The following is a 27,411-nucleotide window of genomic DNA, read 5'->3' as shown; positions in this document are numbered from 1 at the left end:
GGCTCCGCCCCCGACGCAGACACACCAAACGCTTGCGCCCGAGGCGCGGGGGGCGGGCGGAAGTGCCGTGGTTGTACCGCGGCGCTGGGGGTTCCTCCCGGCGAGACTGGCGGGGCTGCGGCGGCTAGGAGAGTGGTGCGTAGGTGTTTCTGGGGGGGTCGTGGGCAGGATGCAGGGCTCAGTAAAGTTTAGTGTCAGAACTTTGTTTGCGCTACCCCTAATATTTCCGTAGAGTAATAGTTGTATTAACTACTTTTCTTTTTTCTTCTGTCCTCCATTTGTTTTGGGGGAGGGTGCGGAGGAATAAGCCTGTGTCTAAGATTGGCGCCTCTCTTCTCTAGCTGTTAACTCTGAGCATTCCCTTTTGTATAGGGTATCGTGTTAATTTTTACATGCACCCAGAGCAGTCTGCCTTTTGGAAGATACATGGGAGACCCTACCGAAAGTAATTACTTTTTTTTTACAGAGTGAATAAATTTGCGTGTCATAAAGGCTGTATAATTGCTTTCGTGTCTAGAGTTCTAGAGTCTTTCGTATTTCTCTTATTGCAATGATTAACTTCATCAAATAATGAGGAATATAAACATAAGGTGCATGGCTATCAAGGAAACAGGGAAAGCAAAGAGAACATGTATCCTGCTTCCCTGTTGAGTAGATATTTACTCAGGTGTACCTTTCTTTTTTATATCTTTTTTATATCTTATGAATTGAAAATAAATCATGGGACCCCCAAATCACTAAGCTAAAGGGAAAAGTCATACTGGGAACTGCTTAGGGAATCCTGCCTCCCATTCTATTCAAAGTCACCCCTCTGCTCACTGAGATAAATGCATGTCTGATTGCCTCATTTGGAGAGGCTCATAAGAGAATGCAACTGTCTGTTATCTACCTATGACTTGGAACTTCCTCCCCACTTGGAGTTGCCCCGCTTTTCCAGATCAGACCAATGTTTATCTTACATATATTGATTGCTGCCCCATGTCTCCCTAAAATGTGTAAAACCAAGCTGTGCCCCAGCCACCTTGGGCGCATGTTGTCAGGATCTGTGCCATGTCATGGATGCAAGTTCTTAACTTTGGCTAAATAAACTTTCTGAGTTGATTGTGACCTGTCTCAGATATTTGGAGTTCATGTATCTCACTCTTTACTATTTAAAAAATATTATTCCAGTTAGAAAGAATGAATAATATCAAGTATTTGATAGCACAGCAGGGTGACTAGTTGTCAGAGGCGTTTGAACTAGAGCAACTCCATCTTGAATAGGGGCTGGGTAAAATAAGGCTGAAACCTACTGGGCTGCATTCCCAGGAGGTTAGTCACAGAGTGAGATAGAAGGTCCACAGGCAGGAAAAACAAGTCATAAAGACCTTGCCGATAAAACAGGTTGCAGTAGTGAAGCCAACCAAAACCCACCAGAAACCAAGATGATGAATACAGTGACCTCTGGTCGTCTTCACTGCTCATTATATGCTAATTATAATTCATTATCATGTTAAAAGACACCCCCACCAGTGCCATGACAGTGTACAGATGCCATGGCAACGTCTGGAAGTTACCTTATATGGGTCTAAAATGGGGAGGAACTCTCAGCCCTGGGAATTGCCTACACCTTTCCTTGGAAAACTTGTGAATAATCCACCCCTTGTTTAGCTGTAATCAAGAAATAACTATAGGTATCCTTAGGCCAGCAGCTCAAGCCGTTGCTCTGCCTATGGAATAGCCATTTTTTTTTTCCTTTGCTTTCTTTATAAACTTGCTTCACTTTATGGATTTGCTTTCAATTCTTTCTTGTATGAAATCCAAAAACCTTCTCTTGGGGTCTGGATTGGGACACCTTTCCGGAAGTACAGTCAATAATAATTCAATTGTACATTTTAAAAAACAAAGTACAAGTGGATTGTTTGTAACACAAAGGAAATGCTTGAGGTAATGGATACCACATTTACCCTGATGTGATAATTACATGCTGTATGCCTGCATCAAAATATTTCATGTACTCCATAAATATATACACCTACTATGTACCTACAAAAATTAAAAACTAAAAAATAAAAATATTCCTTTTAATCATATATTGATAGAGTTGGTAAAGGGGAGCTATTTCAATTTCTTTTCCATCTAAGTACATTACTGTGGGCAACTCAAATCCAATGCCATAAACGTAATTGTCTATTAAATTCCCCAGCTTTATTTAAAAGACAGGAACTCAGTCATAAAACCTTCCACTAAGTACTGCTAGAAAATGACAATGGCTACCTGATTATGGACCAAGAGGGAAAACACCAGAAGTCAAAGAGGTAGTTTGGAAGGTGGTAGGTAGTGTGGTTCCAGAGAGCATCAAGCTTCAAAACAAGCAGAAACATTCATTCCTAAAACACATATTTATTAATTCTCTATCAGATGCCATGGAGCACAGTGGTGGATAAGGAAGACATGGTCTGGCCGTAACAATTTTGAAATCTAATGAAGCAGATTAAAAAGATAAGTACTTACAATAAAAGTGTGGAAATTCTAACAATAGGGGAAGTATAGGGCAGTATGTGATCACTTGGCAGCCAAACTTCTTGCTTCCTATGTAAGACTCTCACAGTCAGACTGGAGCTGCACATCTCTGCCGCTGCACAACACATGGAGAATAGTCTGCTGTATCCTAGCCTTGCCAAGCCCTTTCAGGACCCCATGTCTTTACTGGATTGCCTGTCCACTTCCCCACGCCCCCGACCCTCATCCCCGCATATTATTTTGTAACATATTTCTTCATGGTATCCCAGCTTTAAAGTCTTCAATGAAACCTTTTAAACTCCTACAGTTATTGTATATGTTGTGTTTCCACATTTCTTTATTTAGATGCCTCTAATAGCAAGAAAAGTTATATTGTAGTTTATTAACTTATTTACTGCATCTCTCAATATCCTGAGCTCCTAAAGGAACTCCTGAAAGTTCCTCAGCACTTAGCGTGACAACTAGTACATAGTACCTGCTGTATTCTATAAATGTCCTTTATGTGAGTAAGTCAGTGTAAATGTTTTGGTGCAGCATTATACTTTGGTAAAATAGTACTATGTTAATATTACTAACATTTACATTTATTCCTAAGAAAGGAAACCATAAGAATAATTCATGGTTATATTTTCTAGAGACTAGGCTTGTTTCGTCCAGTATGGTACTCAATAGCCATATAAAGCTATTTACATTTAAATTAATTAAGATTAAATACAATTGATAATGTGGTCCTTCAGTTGCACTAGCCACATTTCAGATTCTCAGTAGTCACATGTGCCTCATGGCTATCATATGGGATAGTTTAGAAAAACATCTTCGTCTTCACAGAAAGTTTTATTGTACAGCTCTGGTCTAGACCTTTGATGGGATGCACATTTGTTCAGACTCTGAGATCATATAACTTAAATATCTCCACCTAGCAACCATATACTCTAACTACATTTTCAGTTATTTTGAATGGGTAATAAGCATTTGAATGGAGGATATTTCAGTGTTGGCTGATATCTGATATTAAGTAGAGCTTTAATCAATACAGTGCATGCCTAGAATAATGGTAAGAATCCCAAGTGGCTATTTAATAACAGATGAGAGATTCTTTTGAAGAGCAAGCTTTGTGTAGACTTGGGAAATAGAATTTCCATTCTCTACAAAATATTGTAATAGTTGTGTTTGTGTCTACAAACTTAAGTTGAATTTTGATATGTAGATGATGGGGGAGGATTGATGGTGTCTTCAGCTGCACTCTGTACATGATTTGTGACACTATCCTTAGACTCACTTTAAAATATGAAGGGCAATAAAATATTGCCACATTTATAATTTGAATTGATGGCTACCCTGATAGCATATCAAGTGTGATCTGGTAAAGTTCCTCCATGATAAATTTTAAAAAAATAAAATTTGAAGCATTTTTTCCTTGTCTGTCAAGAAAATACAACTGTAAACTTTGAAATACTTTTCCTGGTTCAACTAGGAAAATAAAACTAAGTAACTACAATTGGGTATTGTCAAGCAAATCAGTATTCACTGTTTGTCACATAGGGAAATTACCAAGACATAGTGTTAATTGTGTCACTGACATTATCCTATTGTAATGAAGGATTTAAAAATTATTTTAATCCCATAATCAAAAATGGTAGTGAACATCCAAACATAGCAAATATTAGTGCCTTAGGAAAACACTATGATTCATGAGTAGAAGGAGAGGAAAAAGACCACTGAAAAAGAGGAAAGTAATTAGAGCAGCAAAAAATTATAGACGAAGGATAGTTAACAATAACTCTACAGAGTTAAGGACAAGGAAAATAATGCAGAACCACTGGCTATTACAGCAAAAAGGCTATGCCTTTTACTTTATTTATTTATTTATTTATTTTTAAAAATAGAGATGAGATCTTGCTCTGTTGCCCAGGCTGGTTTCAAACTCCTGGCCTCAAGTGATTCTCCCACCTTGGCCTCCTTAAGTTCTGATTTTACAGGTGTGAGCCATCGTGCCCAGCCAGGCTGTGACTTTTAACAGGGGATTGTTTCTTTTTTTCCTGCCATGGTTGCAATAGAAGTCAGATTGTAAGAGCATAAAGAAGCCATATTAGTGTGGAGACAAAAGTGACTCCACCTTAAATGCTAATCTGCTATAATGATTTTTGAGTATCCTCAGTCCCATGAATGCCTCCTGATTCCTACTTTATTTACTGTCCCTAGAGAAAGAACATGTCAATCTTGATGTTATCCCACAGTTTACAGACTATGATGAATATATAGCATTGTTGCCTGTTCTGGAGGATTGCCTTTAATTATCTTGCATAGAGAGCACTTATACCCTTTCACTGTAGTATATAAGCTCTGGGTTGGGAGGTAACAGGTTTAGAGATCTACCTGTCTTGCTGCTGCCCAAGACCACACTTCCGTCTGTAAGTTACCTCCATCACTGACAAACTGGATTTTTCTACCTCATTCTTTGATTTCTCAGCTCCTCTGGCATTTGGGGGGAACTTTGCATATATGGTGGCCCTTTCACAGAACAGTCAGCATTCTCCAGAGTAACAGAGAGATTATAGTAATTGGCCCATGTGATTATGGAGGCTGAGAAGTCCCATGATCTGCAAGCTGGAGAACCATAGAAGTTGGTGGTGTAGTTCAGTCTGAGTTTGAAGGTCTGTGAACCAGGAGTGCTGATGTCCGAGAGGAGGAGAAGATGGCTGTTCAGCTCAAGCAGAAAGCTAATTCACTGTTCTCTGCCTCTTTGTTTCATTCAAGCCCTCAAGGGATGGTATAATGCCTACCCAAATGGGTGAGAGCGTCTTTTTTACTCAGTCTACCAATTCAGATACAAGTCTCTTCTGTAAACACCTTCACAGACATACCCAGAAATAATGTTTTACCAGATATTTGGGCATCCTTTAGCCCAGTCAAACTGACACATAAAATTAACTGTCATAGAAGGACTACCTCGTTAGCAACTAAGAACAATGGGACTTAGAACAAAGACCTCATCAGGTATTAAATTGGAAGAAGATACATTAATGAAAAGAAATGTTATGGTACTGTTGAAGATGGAGGCAGCAAGACCCTCCGAGGCTATAGAAAAAATAGCGTAATAAACCCAGAAAGGCTCTTCAAGATATCTATGTTAGTGTTCTACCTAACACAGCAATAATTTCTTTGCAAAGCCCCTGGCAGATTATTTAGTTTTGCTTGGATCCTTAAGGTGATGAAGTGTTCCCTTTTTAGCAAGGTAAATGAATCTGTTTTTGGACAGATGTAACTCTTAGAAATTTCTTCCTTGTACTGCTAAAGCAAGGTCTGTTTCCCTGTAGCTTCCATATGGTTTCCTTAAGTGATAAACAGACTGACTGTAATATATCTTTCCTATGACAGCCCTCCAAATATCTGAAGTATGTCCCTCCTGTTTTCTTTTTTTAAGTTAAGCATCCCAGATACTTCAATTTATATCTCCTCACAAGATTGCCAGACCTCTTAATATTTTGGCTGCCCAATCAGAATAAAGTTGTTGAACTCTAGTTTGCCAGTGTCAATTTTAAAAAGTAATGTCCAGAAGGAATTTTGTATTTTGCATGTAGTCTGACTGGAACAGATAAGAGACAGTGAAATTAATTTTGTTAGATATTTTACACTTGTTAATTGGACTCTTGGCCTAAACTGAACTGTAATGAATGTACCTGTCTGGTATTTATCTAAATTGCCATCAAACCAGGTTTAGTCTATTCTGTAGCTGAAAAAATTAATTTTATTTGATAAATTTTACCTTGTTCGTTTTGATCCATTCATTCATTTATTCATTCATTGTTTCAACAAATACTTTTTGAGGTCAGCATTGTGGCAGTCTTCGTTATGCCCTGAGATTACCAGAAAGTACAGGTTATTCCAATTAGTTGAACAACTTGAGATCATTTTAAAATGTAAATCTAATATTCAACATTGTTATTTTTACATCACCTGTCATCTATAAATTTCATAAACATGATTGTATCTTTATTCAGTTAATAACAAGATTAAAAAATCAAGGACATATTGTGATAAGCTGGTGATTTTGAATCATCAGGATTCTAGATTTAAAAGTTTTTGGAGACAGAACATTTAACGGTGTGATTTATTTATTTTATAGAAGAGAGTTAATATATAACTTAGAGTTTGATTGTCTTAAATACCGTATTTCTCTTTTTGTCCCAGGGGAAGATCACAGAATGCTGCCTTGCTTGTGGAATTATAGAATTCAAATCTATCAGTTTTATAGGGAGTAATTTTTCAAGACTTACTCTTAAGGAATTCATACTGATTCCTAATAATCATCATTTTCTTAATCTAAATCCTACAAAGCCATTCATTTAATCATTTGTTTTAGAATGTTTCCTGCTTTCCTGTATGTTTCTTTTTCTTCTTACTTTAAAGCAAGGTTTAAACATCCCTTTTGATATTTTTAGGTTTTGTCGGGGTGTAGGGAGCAAGGTTATTCTCACTGTGACCTTTGCCCTGCAGCAGTAAAGCAATAACTAGCATCATTTCTGCTTTGTATTGTTTTATCATTTCTACATCATGTTTGTAGGCTGACGAATGAAGTCAAATGCTTATAAATGCTTTGTAAACTATAAAATTCTCCATTTATATATATTTCTGCCCCACTTATTTCTCATTAATGTTACTTGTGATTATATTGTCAGAATTCCTTAGAGCCACATTTTTGTGAATATTGTGCTGCAAATATATTTATTTGTTTGTAAGCACTAAGTATTCTTTTGTTCCCAAGAAAACAAATTCTATATGAGTCTTTTCTGGTTCTGTTTTTCTTTTGTTTCAATCTCTTCACAATATTGTATTTAGAGCCAGATTTATCAGCCCCAGGCATCTCTTGCTTTCCTGTGTCTACTTCTTCACAGTATAACTCTCAGGCAAAATGACAAAAAGGCAAATTCACAAAGGAACCAGTGAGTGTTCTTGTCAGTGCTTGGGTTCCATTCTCAAATAAGCTGAAAGTTCTTCTATTTCATCAACAGAATGTGATTTAAAGGGATATATTGCCAGCTTGTATCACTGCTAAACAGTGGTGTGTCACTGTAGAGCAAATAGTCACAAGAATACATTCTCAGGAAATATACAGTTATATCTATGCTTTCTGCCAAGCAAGGAGAAACGCAGACTGGCTCAAATCTCCAGAAACGACTTGCATCCTTCTTTATTTCTTACACCTTTTCTTTTCTTCATCTCCTATTTCTTCTTTCCCCATGTCCTCCTCCTGCTTTCACAATTTCCTTCTCCTCCTTATTCTCCTTCTCTTTCACCTCCCCGTCTTCTTCCTTACGCGTTGATTATGCCAGTAAGATGATATCTTGTAAAGAAATGGAATACTTTTAGCAGATGCCACACTATAGCCACAGTAGTGACATCTGGAATTTGTCAAAAGCCACAGTTGGCATCCCTAAAATTCACCTGCCTGGATTCTGTTCTGAGAAGATTGTGTCTGCAAGAAAGTCTGGCCAAGTTCCTAAAAGAGGCAAAATCAAGGATAGATGGCATCTATCCTAGTTCACGTGAAGGTTAAAAGCGTCTTCAGGTACTTAGATACATAGATATACAGGCTCTGTTATTACAAACTTTCAAGGCAATTCTTATGTTCTTATGTATTTATTTGCTTTTTGAATCACAAAATTTATGCTTATATTTTAAGCAGATGGAGTTTGTTTATGAAGAAGTGATTATTGCTGATACTCATTATTACACATCAGAGTAGTTATATTTCTATGTAATTTTTTGCATGGAGTAGGCATTTGTGGTCTTGCTCTACATCTGTTTGATCATAGCAATTCCAGTTGATTTCACAGGGTCAGCAAATACACAGCACATAAGCTAACACTCTTCCTTCTTGTACCCACAGTAGACCACTAATCAATTATGGCGTTTGTCTTGCTAAGCCAGGAAACAGCTTCAGAATCCTTCTCAAACAATGTTTCAGACAGCTGCTATTAATATGTCAGAGTTGGCACTTGATGAGAAATACAGTTGCCATTCCAGATTAAGGCCAACACCCCCCACCGCCCCAAAAAACAGCCTCATAAAAAGACCTCTGAGCAGTGGCATCAGAAATCTAAGGGTCACTGATGGAGTATGACAGGAATCTAAGACAGAGAGAGATCCTAATTTCCCAGGAGCCAGTAATGCAGAGTGGATAATTCTGGTTTGGACTTAAGGTAGATGTAGGATGGAAGTAAAAAAGAAAACATACATTGGGACTGGGTCCTTAGATCTATAAATTGTTTATTTGGGTAGCCATTACTCAGATTTCTCTCATTCTATAGAGTGGTTTTTTAGAGTTTCACAGTGGTACCTAATTGTGACAATACGGGTCTTTCCTATGATTAGTGACCCAATAGAATAGTGAAAAGGAAAGTATTTGTTTTTGTACAACATAGAGGCATGAGTGCCTTCTTTTAACCCATTGATTCCCACACTTTGATCTTGAGAAACTTACTGTCTTAAACCTTCTGAAGACCTCCCAAAGGGCTTTTGTTTATATGGCTATAACTTTCAAGATTTATCATATTTAAATTAAAATGGAAAAATGTTAAAATAGTTATTGAAAATGAAAATAGTAAATGCCTGTTTACTTAAATAATATTTAATCTCACAGATCCCCTGAAAGATTTTGGAGAATTTCCTGATTGGCACTTTGAAAACTGCTGCTGTAACCAATTCTGTGATGACTGCTGACTTGATGTAAGGTGAATGCAGAAAGTCTCCTGCTAGGACTCTCCCTGGCATTGCCTCATTCACAAAAAATTTCAGACACTATATATATCAATTCAGATAATTCATTCAGTTAAATGTTTATTAAATATATTTTCAAATTGTTTATTGATATATAATTATTCTATCAAGGACACATATAAAATAATTAGGTATAGAAAAATATAAGAAAGAAAAGGAAATCAAGATTAGGAAAAAATAACAATGCAGATATTCAGACCATATAGTACTATAAAGTTGGCTCATTATTTTGCTAATGTGTTTACTGAGCACCTGTTCTAGACATAGGAAATGCATGGATGACTACAATTGCCCCAGTTGTTATCTCATTGAGGTTACATTATATTGTACTTGTAAAATATGCACCCCCACTCATGGCTTTAGGCAATACAAATGAACAAAAACAAAAACCAGCCAAACAAATATATCAGTTAAAAGATCATTGACCAAAATGTTAAATGGAGTACTCTGAGGAAGCAAAGAGTTTTGGAGATATGCAAAATAATTTTCTTATAGTACATTTCCTAATTGACTTTATAAAGCTGTTTCTTATAGTCTTCATTAATGAAAGTTAAAGAGGCATGAGAACAAAGTGCTGCTGAGAATATTATATCAGTTAACTTTTGCGAAAACAAAAGTATAATCCATTTGTTGCCAATATTATCAGACTGTGATTCTAAAGTGAAACTACCTTTCTTTTTTACGTCCATGTTTTCATAGTATAAGCCCCTCCTGGTCCATTAAAAATGTAGTACTGCCAACCTAAAGTTAGTACCAGGGCTTCACCTTATACCAAGAGAGCTGAGAAATGTTGGGGAGCACAGATCATTTGATGCATAGTGAATACCTGATATAGCTGGTAGTTTGAAGTAGTAGCTCCTTAGATGATTTTTTTTTCCAGAAGGGGTAAGAATGTTATGTGTTATAGATGGAATTCTGTCCTTCCAAATGTATATGCTGAAGTCCTAACTCCCTGTACCTTAAAATGTGACTGTATTTGTAGATAGCGTTTTTAAACAGTAAGTAGGTTAAAATGAGGTCATTAGGGTACTCTAATCCAATATGCCTGTTGTCCTTATAAAAAGGTGTGCTTAAGACACAGACACCTACAGAAGGAAGACCATGTGAAAATACAGGGAGAAGAAAGCTATCTGTAAGCCAAGAAGTGAGTAAGGCCTCAGAAGAAAGCAAAGCCTGCCAACACCTGGATCTTGGATTCTGGCCTCCAGAATCATAAGAAAATACGTTTCTGTTGTTTAAGCTACTTGGTCTGTGGTACTTGGTTACAGTAGCCCTAGCAAACTCATATGATTCTGTGATGAGGGGAAAGAACTGTTGAAAGGTGAGCAATCAAAGATACAAGGAAAAGGAAAAGGGAGGTGGAGGAGTGGTGGGGATCAGAGCAAGAAAATATCGGGGCAGAAAAGTATGGGGCAAAGTCATAGATAGGTGGTGTGTGTATTAGTCGATTCTTGCATTGATATAAAGAACTGCTTGAGACTGAGTAATTTATAAAGAAAAGAGATTTAATTGGTCAGAGTTTTGCAGGCTGTACAGAAAGCATGGCTTGAGAGGCCTCAGGAAACTTACAAGCATGGCAGAGGTGAAGAGGAAGGAGGCCCATCTCACATGGCTAAAGCAGGGGGAAGAAAGAGGGAAAGGGGAGGTGCTATGGACTTTTAAACAACCAGGTCTCTTGAGAACTTACTCACTACCACAAGAGTATAAAGGGGGAAATCTTCCTCCATGATCCAGTCACCTCCCACCAGGCCCCACCTCCAACACTGGGGATTACAATTCAACATGAGATTTGGGTGGGGACAAAAATCCAAACCATATTATTCCACCCCGGCCCCTCCCAAATCCCTTGTCCTTCTCACATTGCAAAATACAATCCTCCCTTCTCAACAGTCCCCTAAGTCTTAATTCATTTCAGCATTAACTCAAAAGTCCACAATCCAAAGTCTCATCTGAGACAAGGCATTCCCTTCTGTCTATGATCCTGTAAAATTGAAAGCGAGTTAGTTACTTCCAGGACACAATGGGAGTACAGGCATTGGGTATATATACCCACTCCAAGAGGGAGAAATCAGCCAAAACGAAGGCACTACAGGCCCCATGCAAGTCCAATACCCAGAAGGGCAGTCATTAAATCTTAAAGCTCCGAAATAATCTCCTTTGGCTCCATATCTCACATCCAGGCCACACTGATACAAGGGGTGGACTCCCAAGGCCTTGGACATCTCCACCTCTGTAGCTTTGCTGGGTACAGTCCCCTCAGCTGCTTTTACAGGATGGTGTTGAGTGCCTGTGGCTTTTCCAGGCACATAGTACAAGCTGTTGGTGGATATACCATTCTGGGGTCTGGAGGACGGTGGCCCTCTTCTCACAGCTCCACTAGGCAGTGCCCAGTGGAGACTTTTGTGTGGGGCCTCCAACGCTACATTTCTCCTCTGCACTGCTGTAGTAGAGATTCTCCATGAGGGTTCCATCCAGGCAGCAGACTTCTGCCTGGATATTGAGGTGTTTTCATATATTCTATGAAATCTGGGCAGAGGCTCCAAAGCCTTAACTCTTACCCTCTGTGCACCCACAGTCTTAGCACCACATGGAAGCCACCAAGGCTTACAGCTTGCACCCTCTGAAGCAGCAGCCTGATCCATATCTGGGGCCCTTTTAGCCATGACTGGAGCTGGAGTGGCTGGGACACAGGGAGAAGTCTCCCAAGGTTGCTCAGGGCAGCAAGGCCATAGCCTGGTCTACAAAACCATTCTTTGTTCCTAGGCCTCTGGGCATGTGATGGGAGGGGCTGCCATTAAGCTCTCTGAAATGCCTTCCAGGCATTTTCCCCATTGTCTTGGCTACTAACATTAGGCTCCTCTTTACTTTTGCAAATTTCTGCAGCCAGCTTGAATTACTCCCCTGAAAATGGGTTTTTGTTTTCTACCACTTGGCCACATTACAAATTTTCAAAACGTTTATGCTCTATTTCCCTTTTAAATATATGTTCCAATTTCAGACCATCTCTTTGCTCATGAATATAAGCATATGCAGTTAGAAGCAGCCAGGATACTTCTTGAACACTTTACTGCTTAGAAATTTCTTCCACCAGATACCCTAAATCATCTCTCTCAAGTTCAAAGTTCCACAGATCCCTACAGCAGGGGCACAATGCCACCAGTCTTTGCCACAGCATAGCAAAAGTAACCTTTACTCCAGTTCTCGATAAATTTCTTATCTCCATCTGACACTACCTCAGCCTGGACTTCATTGTTAACAACAATTTAACAAGTCTCTAGGAAGTTCGAAACTTTCCCTCATCTTCTTGTCTTCTTCTGAGCCCTTCAAATTGTTCCAACATCTGCCCATTACCCAGTTCCAAAATCGCTTCCACATTTTCAGGTATCTTTGTAGCAATGCCCCACTTCTCTGGTACCAATATTCAGTATTAGTCCATTCTTGCTATAAAGAACTACCTGAGACTGACTAATTTATAAAGAAAAGAGATTTAATTGGCTCAGAGTTCTGCAGGCTGTACCAGAAGCATGGCTTGGGAGGCCTCAGGAAATTCACAAGCATGGCAGAAGGTGAAGAGGAAGGAGGCACGTCTCACGTGGCTGAAGCAGGGGGAAGAGAGAGGGAAGTGTGAGGTGCTACAGACTTTTAAACAACCAGATCTTGTGAGAACTCACTCACTATCATGAGAATAGCAAGGGGAAAATCTAGCCCCATGATCAAATCACCTTCCACCAGGCCCCGCCTCCAACACTGGGGATTGCAATTCAACATGAGATTTGGGTGGGGATATGAATCCAAACCATATCAGTATGGTGGGCCAAACAATAGCATCAGGCTGAGCATGGTGGCTCATGCCTGTAATCACAGTACTTTCGGTGGCCAAGGTGAGTGGATTGCTTGAACTCAGGAGTTTGAGACTAGCCTCAGCAACATGGTGAATCCTGTCTCTACAAAAAATACAAATATTAGTGAAGTGTGATGTTGTATGCCTGTAGCCCCAGCTACTTGGGAGGCTGAGGTGGGAGGATGGCTTGAGCCCAGGTGGCGGAGGTTGCAGTGAGCCAAGATTGTCCCATGCACTCCAGCCTGGATGACGGAGCCAGATCCTGTCTCAAAAAGAAAAAAAGCACCAAAAGACCTCCATGTCAAATTCCCAAAACTTGTGATTTTTACCTTATATTATAAAGGATGGGATAAAGTCAAGGCTCTGAGAGGAAATGTTTATCCTGGATTATCTGAGTCAGTCCTAAATACAATCACATGTATCCTTATAAGGAAGGAGAGACAGTTGTGAGACAGACACAGAGAGGACAGATACACAGAAGAGGAGAAGGTGATATGATGTTGCCTCAAGCCAGAGAACACTGGGCACCCCCAGAAGCTGAAAGAGGCAAGGAAAGAAGAAATTTCTGTTGTTTTAAGCCACCAAGTGTGTGGTCATTTGTTACAGCAGCCACAGAGAACTAATATAGATGGATTGAGCTTGGATATCAGAAAATAAATTTCTTCCTTTCAGACATGGGGTAGAAAAGTAAGGATGTTCATACACTGATTATCTTGGTGGAGGTGATGGTGGTGATATTGTAGGTAAAGTAATTACAGACTATTCATTTTGTATGTAATAATGCATCAAGAACTTTTCTGATTTTTTATTTGTTAGAAAACTCAGAGTTTAGACCAAATCCTAAATATAATAGAAAACATTGAGTTTTTAAAAAAACTTTTGACCATTTATACCAACCAACTGTAAAGCTTCTTCTTTTATATCTTTCAGCATTTAGTTATAAATAATGAATCAGGAAACAAAGGGCCAATAATGACATAATGAACTCCTTAAGGTACGCATAATGTTTCATAAGTTAAGTTAGAAATTTCCAATTGCTTTTTCTAAAATGGAAACAACTGTATAACAAGATTGCTTCTTTGAAATACTGTAAAAGTATAATGTTCTAGATTGTTATATACTGCAACATATTAAAGCCTAATGGATTTTCCTCATGAAAATCTGTAATACTGCTATGATTGAATACTTCTTCAGAACTTGGTAAGCATGTTGCTTTTTTAAAATCTTGTATTTGTCATAGTACTTATTCTGGCAGGTGGGGGGACATTTGGGTGATGCTTGTTGTTAACAGAAGGACGAATTAGTTTTGCAGCATGAATTGGCATTCTATAAAATTCATTCACAAAATAATTGCTTACTGGGGATTTTCATCATTATAACTGAGAAAGAGGAGGCACATCTGTGCTCTTTTGCAATATGAGACAGTCATTTTTCAAACAAATCATACATGCAACAATAGATAGGAATATGGCGGGAAAAAGATTCAGTGGTTCTATCTGAGCCCGTGATTCCAATACCAGAGGCAGAATTGAGATTCAAGTCTATAACTGTACCAGGAAAAGTCATAATAAGGGTATAGGGGGTTGATACATTTAACTTCTGTCTATGACAGCTTTCTTTGGATAATTTGGTAGAAAAAACAACATGCAATAAAAACATCTTTAGAAGTCTTAGATTATTACTAATTATTTATGGGATTGGTTTCAGAAATTTGATACCTTAACATCTTAAAGAAAAAGGAAGGCCAGGTACATTGGCTCAGACCTGTAATCCTAGCACTTTGAGAGAGCAAGGAGTGAAGATTGCTTAAGGCCAGGAGTTCAAGACAAGCCTGGGCAAAAGTGTGAGACCCCCAACTCTACAAAAAACAAAACAAAACAAAACAAAAAACAAAAAAACCTAGCTGGATATGGATATGGTAGCACGTGCCTGTAGTCGTAGCTACAGGAGGCTAAGGTGGGAGGATTGCTTGAGCCCAAGGGTTCAAGGCTACAGTGAGCCATGATCAGCCCATTGCACTCCAGCCTGGGTGACAGAGTGAGATCTTTTCTTTAAAGAGAGAGAGACAGACAGAGAGAGAAATACTCTCAACAGGCAGCATGAAATCATGTTCTAAATCCACACTTCTTTTTTTTCCTGAAGATATTTGTTCAATAACATACGAGCCAAATAATGGAAACTGACATCGTGTGTGTGTGTGTGTGTGTGTGTGTGTGTGTGTGTGTGTGTGTGTGTTGGGGAGGAGCTAGGTATGCAGGAGAACCAACCACCAGGGGAATCTCCTAGTACTTCCTGAATCCCAAAGGTTCTTTGCCTCTAATATCTGACATCCTTCACTTCCTTTTCCTTCTCTTTGCAACCACCAGCAACTTGACTTACGTGTTACTTGTGTTTAGGTACAATGTATTAGTTTTGTTTGTTTGTTTTTGTTTTGTTTTTAGATGGAGTTCTCTGTTGTTGCCCAGGCTGGGGTGCAATGGCGAGATCTCAGCTCACTGCAACCTCCACCTCCCAGATTCAAGCGATTCTCCTGCCTTGGCCTCCTGAGTAGCTGGGATTACAGGCATGTGCCACCACGCCTGGCTAATTTTGTATTTTTAGTAGAGACAGGGTTTCTCCATGTTGATCAGGCTGGTCTCGAACTCCTGACCTCAGGTGAGCTGCCCGCCTTGGCCTCCCAAAGTGCTGGGATTACAGGTATGAGCCATCGTGCCCAGCCAATGTCATTAATTTTTATACCGACAGATATATATAGCACAGTGCCTTGAGGTGAAATATTAAATTGCCACTTTATACATGGATTATTACAATTGCTATTTAACTGTTTTGAGGATTCCAGTTTACATTTTATATTTATATTAAAACCATAATTATATTGAATGTAATTCAAGTGATGCCATTTGTGCTTTTAAAATCATTTAAAATGTTTTGTGTGTTCTAAAATGTTAATGACTAGTGGTCAAATAAATGAAGTATAGACTCCTAAAAATCTCCTGAAATAGCCCAACCCAATCTATCCCCAAATTAGTGTCCCGATTGCAGCCTAATCTCCTCAGCACCCTTCATGAAGGCTGGCATTCAGCCACATGCCACATTGTTGCCCTTCTGGAAATATGCCAGATTCTTTCAGGGCACGGAATATTTGCAAAGAATGTTTTACCTTTCTGAAATACCCTTTCCTTCTTCTTCAGTCCTGGCAAAGTTAGTTTCTTCCTCTTATTTTTTCATTAGGCTTTATCTACTCTCCTCTTAAACAATGTAAGGATCTTAGAAAACTTTACCCTTTCCACTTAAATAATTTTTAAACTTTATTCTATTATTTTTTACTCCCCAAATTCATTGTAAATTTATCCAAAGTTTAACATCTATTTTCCTCTATGTTTTATTTTTCATCTACTATTTCTTTCTTTCTTGGTTTTATTTTTTCATTGTAAAAAACTAAGGTGGACTTGTTAGTAGTTTTTTCTGCAAAAGGCTATTAGTAGTAAAACTATTATAGTCTATATTTGTCCAGCATCAAATCTACCAGAATGGCTAAAATTAAAAAGACTGACAGTAACAAGTATTGATGAGTATGTGAAACACTGCTGGTGGAAATATAAGTAAATACAACAATTTGGAAACATTATTTGGTATCATCAACTAATGCTGAACATAATAAACAGCTTATACCCCTAGGTAAAATCCAACAGAAATGCGTACATATTGTGGCAGGTTGAATAATTGTCCCCCAAGGATGTCCATATCCTAATACTCAGAACCTGTGAATGTTACCTTATATGACAAAATAAAATTTGCAGGTGTGATTAAGTTAAATGTGTTGAGATGGGGAGATTATTCTCAATTATCTGAGTGGTCTCAATGTAATCACAGTGATCCTTATAAAAGGGATGCAGGAGAAGTCAGAGTTGGAGAGAAAGCAATCGATGACTGAAGCAAGCAGAGCATGTAGTGATGTGGCCACAGTTCAATGAATACTAAGTCTAAAAGCTGGAAGGATCAAGGAACAGACTCCTCCTGGAGACTCCAAAAGAAATCAGCCCTGGCTGGGCGTGGTGGCTCATGCCTGTAATCCCAACACTTTGGGAGGCTGAGGCGGGCGGATCACGAGGTCAGGAGATCGAGGCCATCCTGGCTAACACGGTGAAACCCCGTCTCTACCAAAAAAATAGAAAAAATTAGCCGGGCACGGTGGCGGGTGCCTGTAATCCCAGCTACTCGGGAGGCTGAGGCAGGAGAATGGCGTGAACCCGGGAGGTGGAGCTTGCAGTGAGCCGAGATCGTGCCACTGCACTCCAGCCTGGGCAACAGAGCGAGACTCCATCTCAAAAAAAAAAAAAAAAAAAAAAAAAAAGAAGAAGAAATCAGCCCTGCTGACACCCTTGTTTTAATCCCATGAGCTCCATTTCAGGCTCCGACCTCTAGAATTCTGAGAATGGGGACTTAAATTGCTTTTGTTAATGGTAGTCCCTATGCCTAGACAGTGTAAGTGCTCAATAAGAATTGTTGAACAACAACAAACTGTGTGAATGAATGAATGAGTGCAAATGTCTTTATTTCACTCTTATTTGGATGGGTAAATTGGCGTGGTATAGAATTCTAGATTGATGACTATTTTTTTCAGCACTTTAGAGAGTTTTCTGGCTTTTCTTTTATTTTCCCAGCCATTATCTCTTTGAATACTGTGCCTCCTTCATTTTCTCAATTCTTCCCTTTTGTAACTGTTACTGGACTTTCTAGCCATGGTGTCTTTAAATCTGTCCTTCATTTTATCCATCTGTTTATTTCCTCCTGTTGCTCTCTGGATATTTTGTTCAGATCACATCCAGTTCATTTATAGTTTTGTTTAACTCATCCACACAAAGTGCACAAGTCACAAGGGTGAATCTCAACAAACTATTACAAAGTAAACACATGCTGCAACTAGGTCAATAAAATTCTGTCATTGCCAAGAAGCTCCCTCATGCCATCTTCCAATCACTATGGCTTTCTTTCTATCTAGAGGTAATCATTCCTTTAATATTTCCATTAGAGGAATCTACCAGCAATGTCAGTGGGTCTACTGACAACAGATGCTATTGTTGTGGTCTGCAAATATCCTAGTTTGACTTTGTTCCTCAAAGACATTTTCATTGACTATAGAATTTTAGATTGGCAGTTATTTTCTTTTGGTACTTTGAAAATACATTTCAGTGTCTTCTGGCTTCGTAGTTTTTATTGAAAAGGCAATTATGATTCTGATTATGATTCCCATCAAGGTAGTCTCTTTTCCTTCCCTATAGATGATCTTATGATTTTCTAATTTTTCTTTGTTTTTCATTGATTTCACTATAATGTGCTATGTGTAGCTTTCTTTGTATATATCCTTTTTTGGGATTCCTAATACTATCTGAATCTGCAGCTTAATCTCTTTTTCCAGTTGTGAAAAATCCATAGCCATACTCTCTTCAACTATCTTTCTGCTCCATTTTTCTCTCCTTTTCTTCTGGGACTCCACTTACACATTTGTTGGAACTTTTAATTGGATCCCCGATGTCTTTCCTATGTAATTTTCTCTATTTTTCCTTCTTTTTGTCTCTTTATACTTCATCCTGGGTATTTTCTTCTGACCAATTTACCAGGTGATTTATTCTTTTTTCATCTATGACTAATTTACTGTTAACCCATATATTGAGTATTTTTTCAGTAATTGCATTTTTTCATATCTAGAATTTTCATTGGATTGTTCTTTACATTTTTAGCTATCTGACAATATTTTAAATTATGTCTTTTATTTCCTTGACTATATTAACATCTATTTCTAATAACTTTATAATTTTGAATTTTCTCTTGTCTGTTTCTGATATCTGTTTTTCTCTTGGTTGTGATCATGTTGTCTTGTCTCCTTGTTATTCTAATTATTTTTTAATATAAACTACCCATTTTATACAAAGTAGTAGAGATAATTTAAGTGTGTAATATCTTCCACCAAAGAGGATTTATATATTTTTTTCTAGTAGGTGGCTAGTAATTCCAGATCACCTTGATATAATCAAGGCTTATAAAAGCCCACTTAAAAAATCATAAACACGGATTTCTAGAGTATATTTCTTTGTGGTCTCAAAGCCCCAGATGTTTGCCACTTGCCTGTCCTAGGCAGGCAATGAACTCCAATTTTTGTTCCCTTGGCACCATGAATCTGTTCAAAGTTTTGCAAAGCTCCTGATTCTCTCAGGTGCCTCTTCTGATATGAGCGTGGACAGAAAAAAAAAATGGCACCAGTTGCAGAACTCTTCTGTCTTTTTCATTTTCTCCCCTAAATATCTTGATCTTTTAATTCACCCCTGCCTCTTTAATGTTCAAATGACATAGAACAGATTTTTAAAAAAATATTTTGCAAGTATTAATAGTTGCTCTGAGCCTGAAGCTTGATCTGATTTACTTTGTTTGCAATTACTGGAAGTCAGGAGCAATTGCAAGATATTCACAGCTATAAGTTCCATTCTATTATTTTAAAATTTTTCTTCTTTTTTTAATAGATTCTTCCTCTTTTATTATGTCTTGGTTTCTTTTGTAGGTCTTCTATTTTTATTCTAAAGATAGCTACTTTATACTGTCTGGTCAATATTCGTGTTATTGGAGGTCAGAGGATATAATCGTATTGTTTACTGTGGGTTTTTAAAAAAGGAACTCTAAATGCACATATTAGTTCTATCCCTTAATTTTTTATGGCCTTAAGCAATTTGCTTGCATTTTTTAAGGCTTAATTTTCTCATCTCTCTGAAATGGAAACTGTGTTAAATATAATTTTCATAGTTAACTGTGTGACATAGTTTTTTTTAACCTGTTGTTTTAATATAAATGGTAAAGAATCTTGGATTAATTTTTTTCTACCAGAAAATGAATTAAAATTAAAATATAAATATCTTACAGGATATGAAACTTGGTATTTTGGAGCTCTCTGTAATCACAGTTATTCATTACAGCATTATCTTGACAGATAGTACACCCATCTCTACTGATAAAGAAACATGGAGATTTCTGTTTCCAGCAACATAAAAAACTAGATCACCTACTGTGAGATGTGCTATATATAATTCAACAAATTCTTTAAATTCACAAGGGAATTCCCTATTGTCTGAAAATTTTTAAAAAGAAGGAATTTGGTATGGTAAGCCAATACCAGACTTGTGACTGCATGACAGTATTTTATGATGCCAAGAGACTTGTGTTTTCATGATTCAGTAATACCTTGTGCCTACCTAAGGTGGTTTATATAGTCATTTCCTTCAAAGGGATTTTTTTTATAGAGTCTTGCTCTGTCACCAGGTTGGAGTGCAGTGGCATGATCTTGGCTCACTGCAACCTCTGACTCCCTGGTTCAAGTGATTCTCCTGCCTCAGCCTCCCAAGTAGCTGGGATTACAGGCATGCACTACCATGCCCAGCTAATTTTTGTATTTTTAGTAGAAACAGGGTTTCACCGTGTTGGCCAGGATGGTCTCAATCTCCTGACCTTGTGATCTGCCCGCCTTGGCTTCCCAAAGTGCTGGGATTACAGGCGTGTCCCACTGTGCCCGGCCCAAAGGGATATTTTCACAGTGAAAAGACAAACCAGGAAAAAAAGAAGTCTACCCACCAGCAAAGACACATGACAAAGTTATTTGTTTGTTCTTGGCCCTGACTCTAGGTAGGACAAATATAATGTATTTCTTAAGAGTTCCTAGATATAGCCCTGGCTTATATGGAATTGTTATTTGTATTTTTATACTCATAAATCTAAAAATTAATTTAATGTGATCATGAGTATTTGGCAGAAGAGAATAAAATTACTCTTTAGAAATATCTACATTTAACTCAGACTCCCTCAATATTTCCATACATTTAGATTAACTGAACTCTAAATTCCAAACTATAAAACTGATGAAACAAGATATCATGAGTGAGAAGTAGCATGAAAAACAAATAGTAGAGTTAGAAATGCTGCATGGCATTATTGTTTGCTTTACTTTGTGTTGTTTTTTAAAGACAAAATAGACTGAAGCATGATTATAGGTCAAGAGGAACACATATTTGATAAGGAAGAGCCTGGGGAATAATTGATGGGAATCTTGGAGTAGACCAGAAGAGAGAGGATCAGGAGTAGAGACTGGAGGGAGACGACCCATTCATTCCTGGAGGAAGGGAAGCTGAAATTGAAATGTTAAATTAAAAATGGACAGGAATGATCTCCGTTCCAAGATGACCGAATAAGAACAGCTCCGGTGTGCAGCTCCCAGTGTGATCGACACAGAAGACAGGTGATGTCTGCATTTCCAATGGAAGCACCTGGTTCATCTCACTGGGACTGGTTGGACAGTGGGTGCAGCCCATGGAGGGTGAGCCAAAGCAGGTTGGGGTGTCACCTCACCTGGGAGGTGCAAGGGGTCGGGGGATTCCCCTTTCATAGCCAAGGGAAGTGGTGACAGACTGTTCCTGGAAAAACTGGACACTCCCGCCCAAATACTGCACTTTTCCCATGATCTTAGCAACTGGCAGACCAGGAGATGCCCTCCTGTGCCTGGCTTGGTGGGTACCGCCCCCATGGAACCTTGCTCACTGTCAGTGCAGCAGTCTGAGATCGACCTGCAAGGCAGCAGCCTGCTGGCGGGAGGGGAGTCTGCAATTGCTGAGGCTTGACTAGGTAAACAAAGCTGCCAGGAAGTTCAAACTGGGTGGAGCCCACCACAGCTCAGTAATGCCTACTGCCTCTGTAGACTCCACATCTGTGGGCAGGGCATAGCTGAACAAAAGGCAGCAGAAGCTTCTGCAGACTTCAACGTCCCTGTCTGACAGTTCTGAAGAGAGCAGTGGTTCTCCCAGCAGGGCATTTGAGCTCTGAGAATGGACAGAGTGCCTCCTCAAGTGGGTCCCTGACCCCCGTGTAGCCTAACTGGGAGACATCTCCCAGTAGGGGCCAACAGATACCTCATGCAGACAGGTGCCCCTCTGGGAAGAAGCTTCCAGAGGAAGGATCAGGCAGAAATATTTGCTGTTCTGTAATATTTGCTGTTCTGCACCCTCTGCTGGTGATACCCAGGCAAACAGGGTCTGGAGTGGAGCTCCAGCAAACTCCAGCAGGGACAAGCAGTTCCCTGCAGCTGAGGGACCTGACTGTTAGAAGGAAAACTAACAAACAGAAAGTAATAGCATCAACATCAATAAAAAGGACATCCACACCAAAACCCCATCTGTAGGTCACCAACATCGAAGACCAAAGGTAGATAAAACCACAAAGATGGGGAGAAAGCAGAGCAGAAAAACTGAAAATTCCAAAAACAGAGCACATCTTCTCCTCCAAAGGATCACAGCTCCTCACCAGCAATGGAACAAAGCTGGACAGAGAATGACTTTGACAAGTTGACAGAAGTAGGCTTCAGAAGGTTGGTAATAACAAATTTCTCCAAGCTAAAGGAGCATGTTCTAACCCATTGCAAGGAAGCTAAAAACCTTGAAAAAAGGTTAGGTGAATGGCTAACTAGAATAAACAGTGTAGAGAAGACCTTAAATGACCTGATGGAGCTGAAAACCATGGCACAAGAACTTCGTGACACATGCACAAACTTCAATAGCTGATTCGATCAAGTGGAAGAAAGGATATCAGTGACTGAAAATCAAATTAATGACATAAAGCAAGATGACAAGATTGGAGAAAAAAGAGTAAAAGGAAACAAACAAATCCTCCAAGAAATATGGGGCCATGTGAAAAGACCAAATCTATGTTTGATTGTTGTACCTGAAAGTGACGGGGAGAAAGGAACCAAGTTGGAAAACACTTTTGAGGATATTATCCAGGAGAACTTCTCCAACTAGCAAGGCAGACCAACATTCAAATTCAGGAAATACAGAGAACACCACAAAGATACTCCTTGAGATGAGCAGTCCCAAGACACATAATCATCAGATTCACCAAGATGAAATCAAGGAATAAATGTTAAGGGCAGCCAGAGAGAAAGGTCGGGTTACCCACAAATGGTAGCCCATCAGACTAACAGTGGAACTCTTGGCAGAAACTTTATAAGCCAGAAGAGAGTGGAGGCCAATATTCAACATTCTTAACCAAAAGAATTTTCAACCCAGAATTTCATCTCCAGCCAAACTAAGCTTCATAAGTGAAGGAGAAATAAAATCCTTTACCGACAAGCGAATGCTGACAGATTTTGTCACCACCAGGCCTGCCTTACAAGAGCTCCTGAAGGAAGCAGTAAACATGGAAAGGAACAACCGGTACCAGCCACTGCAAAAACATGCCAAATTATAGAGACCATCAATTCTATGAAGAAATTGCATGAAATAATGGGCAAAATAACCAGCTAACGTCATAATGACAAGATCAAATTCACACATAACAATATTAACCTTAAATGTAAATGGGCTAAATGCCACAAGTACAAGACACAGACTGGCAAATTTGATAAAGAGTCAAGACCCATCAGTGTGTTGTATTCAGGAGACTCATCTCACATGCAGAGACACACACAGGCTCAAAATAAAGGGATGGAGGAAGATCTACCAAGCAAATGGAAAGCAAAAAAAAAGCAGGGGTTGCAAACCTAGTCTCTGATAAACCAGACTTTAAACCAACAAAGATCAATAGAGACAATGAAGGCCATTACATAATGGTAAAGGGATCAATTCAACAAGAAGAGCTAACTATCCTAAATATATATGCACCCAATACAGGAGCACCCAGATTCATAAAGCAAGTCCTTAGAGACCTACAAAGAGACTTAGACTCCCACACAATAATAATGGGAAACTTTAACACCCTACTGTCAATATTAGAAAAATCAACGAGACAGAAGGTTAACAAGGATATACAGGACTTGAACTCAACTCTGCACCAAGTGGACCTAATAGACATCTACAGAACTCTCCATGCCAAAATCAACAGAATATACATTCTGTAAAAGAACAGAAACCACAACAAACTGTGTCTCAGACCACAGTGCAATCAAATTAGAATTCAGGATTAAGAAACTCATTCAAAACTGCTCAACTACATGGAAACTGAGCAACCTGCCCCTGAATGACTACTGGGTACATAAAAAAATGAAGGCAGGAAAAAAGATGTTCTTTGAAACCAATGAGAAAAAAGACAAAATGTACCAGAATCTCTGGGACACATTTAAAGCAGTGTGTAGAGGGAAACTTATAGCACTAAATGCCCACAAGAGAAAGCAGGAAAGATCTAAAATCGACACCCTAACATTACAATTAAAAGAACTAGAGACGCAAGAGCAAACAAATTCAAAAGCTAGCAGAAGGCAAGACATAACTAAGATCAGAGCAGAACTGAAAGAGATAGAGACACAAAAAACCCTTCAAAAAATCAATGAATCCAGGAGCTGTTTTTCGAAAAGATCAACAGAATCGATAGACTGCTGGCAAGACTAATAAGAAAAGAAAGAAGAATCAAATAGACACAATAAAAAATAATAAAAGGGATAACACCACCGATCCCACAAAAATACAAACTACCATCAGAGAATACTATAAACACCTCTATGCAAATAAACTAGAAAATCTAGAAGAAATGGATAAATTCCTGGACACATACACCCTCCCAAGGGTAAACCAGGAAGAAGCTGAATCTCTGAATAGACCAATAACAGCCTCTGAAATTGAGGCAATAATTAATAGCCTACCAATGAAAAAAAGGCCAGGACCAGATGAATTCTACCAGAGGTACAAAGAGGAGCTGGTACCATTCCTTCTGAAACTATTCCAATAGGAAAGAGGGAATCCTCCCTAATTCATTTTATGAGGCCGGCATCATCCTGATACCAAAACCTGGTAGAGACACAACAAAAAAACAGAATTTTAGACCAATATCCCTGATGAACATCGATGCAAAAATCCTCAATAAAATACTGTCAAACCGAATCCAGCAGCACGTCAAAAAGCTTATCCACCACGATCAACTTGGCTTCATCCCTGGGATACAAGGCTGGTTCAACATACACAAATCAATAAACGTAATTCATCATATAAACAGAACCAGCGAAGAAAACCACATGATTATCTCAATAGATGCCAAAAAGGCTTTTGACAAAATTCAACAGCCCTTCATACTAAAAACTCTCAATAAACTAGGTATTGATTGAACATATCTCAAAATAATAAGAGCTATTTATAACAAACACGCAGCCAATATCATACTGAATGGGCAAAATTTGGAAGCATTCCCTTTGAAAAGTGCTATAAGACAAGGATGCCCTCTCTTACCACTCCTATTCAACATAGTGTTGGAAGTTCTGGCCAGGGTAATCAGGCAAGAGAAAGAAATAAAAGGTATTCAGTTAGGAAATGAGGAAGTCAAATTGTCCCTGTTTGCAGATGACATGATTGTATACTTAGAAAACCCCATTGTCTCAGCCCAAAATCTCCTTAAGCTGATAAGCAACTTCAGCAAAGTCTCAGGATACAAAATCAATGTGCAAAAATCACAAGCATTCCTATACACCAATAACAGACAAACAGAGAGTGAAATCATGAGTGAACTCCCATTCACAATTGCTTCAAAGAGAATAAAATACCTAGGAATCCAACTTATAAGGGATGTGAAGGACCTCATCAAGGACAACTACAAACCACTGTTCAATGAAATAAAAGAGGACACAAACAAATGGAAGAACATTCCATGCTCATGGGTAGGAAGAATCAATATCGTGAAAATGGCCATACTGCCTAAGGTAATTTATAGATTCAATGCCACCCCCATCAAGCTACCAATGACTTTCTTCACAGAATTGGAAAAAATTACTTTAAAGTTCATATGGAACCAAAAAAACCTGCATTGCCAAGACAATCCTAAGCCAAAAGAACAAAGCTGGAGGCATCACGCTACCTGACTTCAAACTATACTACAAGGCTATAGCAACCAAAACAGCATGGTACTGGTACCAAAACAGAGATGTAGACCAGTGGAACAGAACAGAGACCTCAGAAATAATAATACACATCTACAACCATCTGATCTTTGACAAACCTGACAAAAACAAGAAATGGGGAAATGATTTCCTACTTAACAAATGGTGCTGGGAAAACTGGCTAGCCATATGTAGAGAGCTGAAACTGGATCCCTTTCTTACACCTTATACAGAAATTAATTCAAGATGGATTAAAGACTTTAATGTTGAACCTAAAACCATAAAAACCCTAGAAGAAAACCTAGGCAATACCATTCAGGACATAGGCATGGGCAAAAACTTCATGACTAAAACACCAAAAGCAATGGCAACAAAAGCCAAAATAGACAAATGGGATCTAATTAACCTAAAGAGCTTCTGCACAACAAAAGAAACTACCATCAGAGTGAACAGGCCACCTATAGAATGGCAGAAAATTTTTGCATAGTACCCATCCAACAAAGGGCTAATATCCAGAATCTACAAAGAACTTAAACAAATTTACAAGAAAAAAACAAACAACCTCATCAAAAAGTGGGCAAAGGATATGAACAGACACTTCTCAAAAGAAGACATTTATGAAGCCAAAAAACGTGAAAAAATGCTCATCATCAGAGAAATGCAAATCAAAACCACAATGGAATACCATCTCACACCGGTTAGAATGAAGATCATTAAAAAGTCAGGAAACAACAGATGCTGGAGGGGATGTGGAGAAATAGGAACGCTTTTGCACTGTTGGTGGGAGTGTTAATTAGTTCAATCATTGTGGAAGGCAGTATGGTGATTCCTCAAGGATCTAGAACTAGAAATACCATTTGACCCAGCGATCCTATTACTGGGTATAAACCCAAAGGAGTATAAATCATGCTGCCATAAAGACACATGCACACGTATGTTTATTGCAGCACTACTCACAATAGCAAAGACTTGGAACCAACCCAAATGTCCATCAGTGATAGACTGGATTAAGAAATTGTGGCATATATACCCCATGGAATACTATGCAGCCAAAAAAAGGATGAGTTCGTGTCCTTTGTAGGGACATGGATGAAGTTGGAAACCATCATTCTCAGCAAACTGTCACAAGGACAGAAAACAAACACTGCATGTTCTCACTCATAGGTGGGAATTGAACATTGAGAACACGTGGGCACAGGGAGGGGAACATCACACACTGGGGCCTGTCAGGGGGAGGGGGACTAGGGGAGAGAGATAGCATTAGGAGAAATACCTAATGTAAATGATGAGTTGATGGGTGCAGCAAACCAGCATGGCACATAGATAACTACGTAACAAACCTGCACGTTCTGCACATGTACCCTGGAACTTAAAGTATAATAAAAAAAATGGACAATGA

At 38.7% G+C, this 27,411-nt stretch overlaps 1 long non-coding RNA gene across 8 annotated transcripts in view, besides 4 other annotated features; it reads left to right on the top strand.

Moving 5' to 3' along the window:
• Positions 1 to 381: part of an enhancer, noted in NCBI's record as "NANOG-H3K27ac-H3K4me1 hESC enhancer chr6:96969271-96970142 (GRCh37/hg19 assembly coordinates)", that runs on past the window's edge. NCBI's record gives its function as "activates a minimal SCP1, AML or CMV promoter by ChIP-STARR-seq in naive and primed H9 embryonic stem cells {active_cell/tissue: H9 hESC(naive and primed)}" and the evidence as "EXISTENCE:reporter gene assay evidence [ECO:0000049][PMID:30033119]".
• The window catches only part of UFL1-AS1 (UFL1 antisense RNA 1), a 321,372-nt gene continuing 294,022 nt past the window's right edge, over positions 62 to 27,411 (top strand). Inside the window, exons 1-3 of one of the 8 annotated variants that reach the window (XR_002956362.2) lie at positions 62 to 9,231; positions 14,054 to 14,117; positions 21,130 to 27,411. This is a non-coding gene — a long non-coding RNA (UFL1 antisense RNA 1). The other 7 variants (XR_007059683.1, XR_007059686.1, XR_001744265.3 and 4 more) reach the window with 7 other exon arrangements.
• Positions 176 to 365: an enhancer, noted in NCBI's record as "active region_24842". NCBI's record gives its function as "activates an Ori minimal core promoter by ATAC-STARR-seq in GM12878 lymphoblastoid cells {active_cell/tissue: GM12878}" and the evidence as "EXISTENCE:reporter gene assay evidence [ECO:0000049][PMID:35858748]".
• Positions 382 to 1,253: an enhancer, noted in NCBI's record as "OCT4-NANOG-H3K27ac hESC enhancer chr6:96968399-96969270 (GRCh37/hg19 assembly coordinates)". NCBI's record gives its function as "activates a minimal SCP1, AML or CMV promoter by ChIP-STARR-seq in primed H9 embryonic stem cells {active_cell/tissue: H9 hESC(primed)}" and the evidence as "EXISTENCE:reporter gene assay evidence [ECO:0000049][PMID:30033119]".
• Positions 1,254 to 2,127: an enhancer, noted in NCBI's record as "OCT4-NANOG-H3K27ac hESC enhancer chr6:96967525-96968398 (GRCh37/hg19 assembly coordinates)". NCBI's record gives its function as "activates a minimal SCP1, AML or CMV promoter by ChIP-STARR-seq in primed H9 embryonic stem cells {active_cell/tissue: H9 hESC(primed)}" and the evidence as "EXISTENCE:reporter gene assay evidence [ECO:0000049][PMID:30033119]".

Source organism: Homo sapiens, chromosome 6, assembly GCF_000001405.40.
Source record: "Homo sapiens chromosome 6, GRCh38.p14 Primary Assembly".
Lineage (NCBI taxonomy): Eukaryota > Metazoa > Chordata > Mammalia > Primates > Hominidae > Homo > Homo sapiens.
The sequence above is the reverse complement of the archived record's forward strand: the minus strand, read 5'-3'. Positions and strand labels throughout refer to the sequence as shown.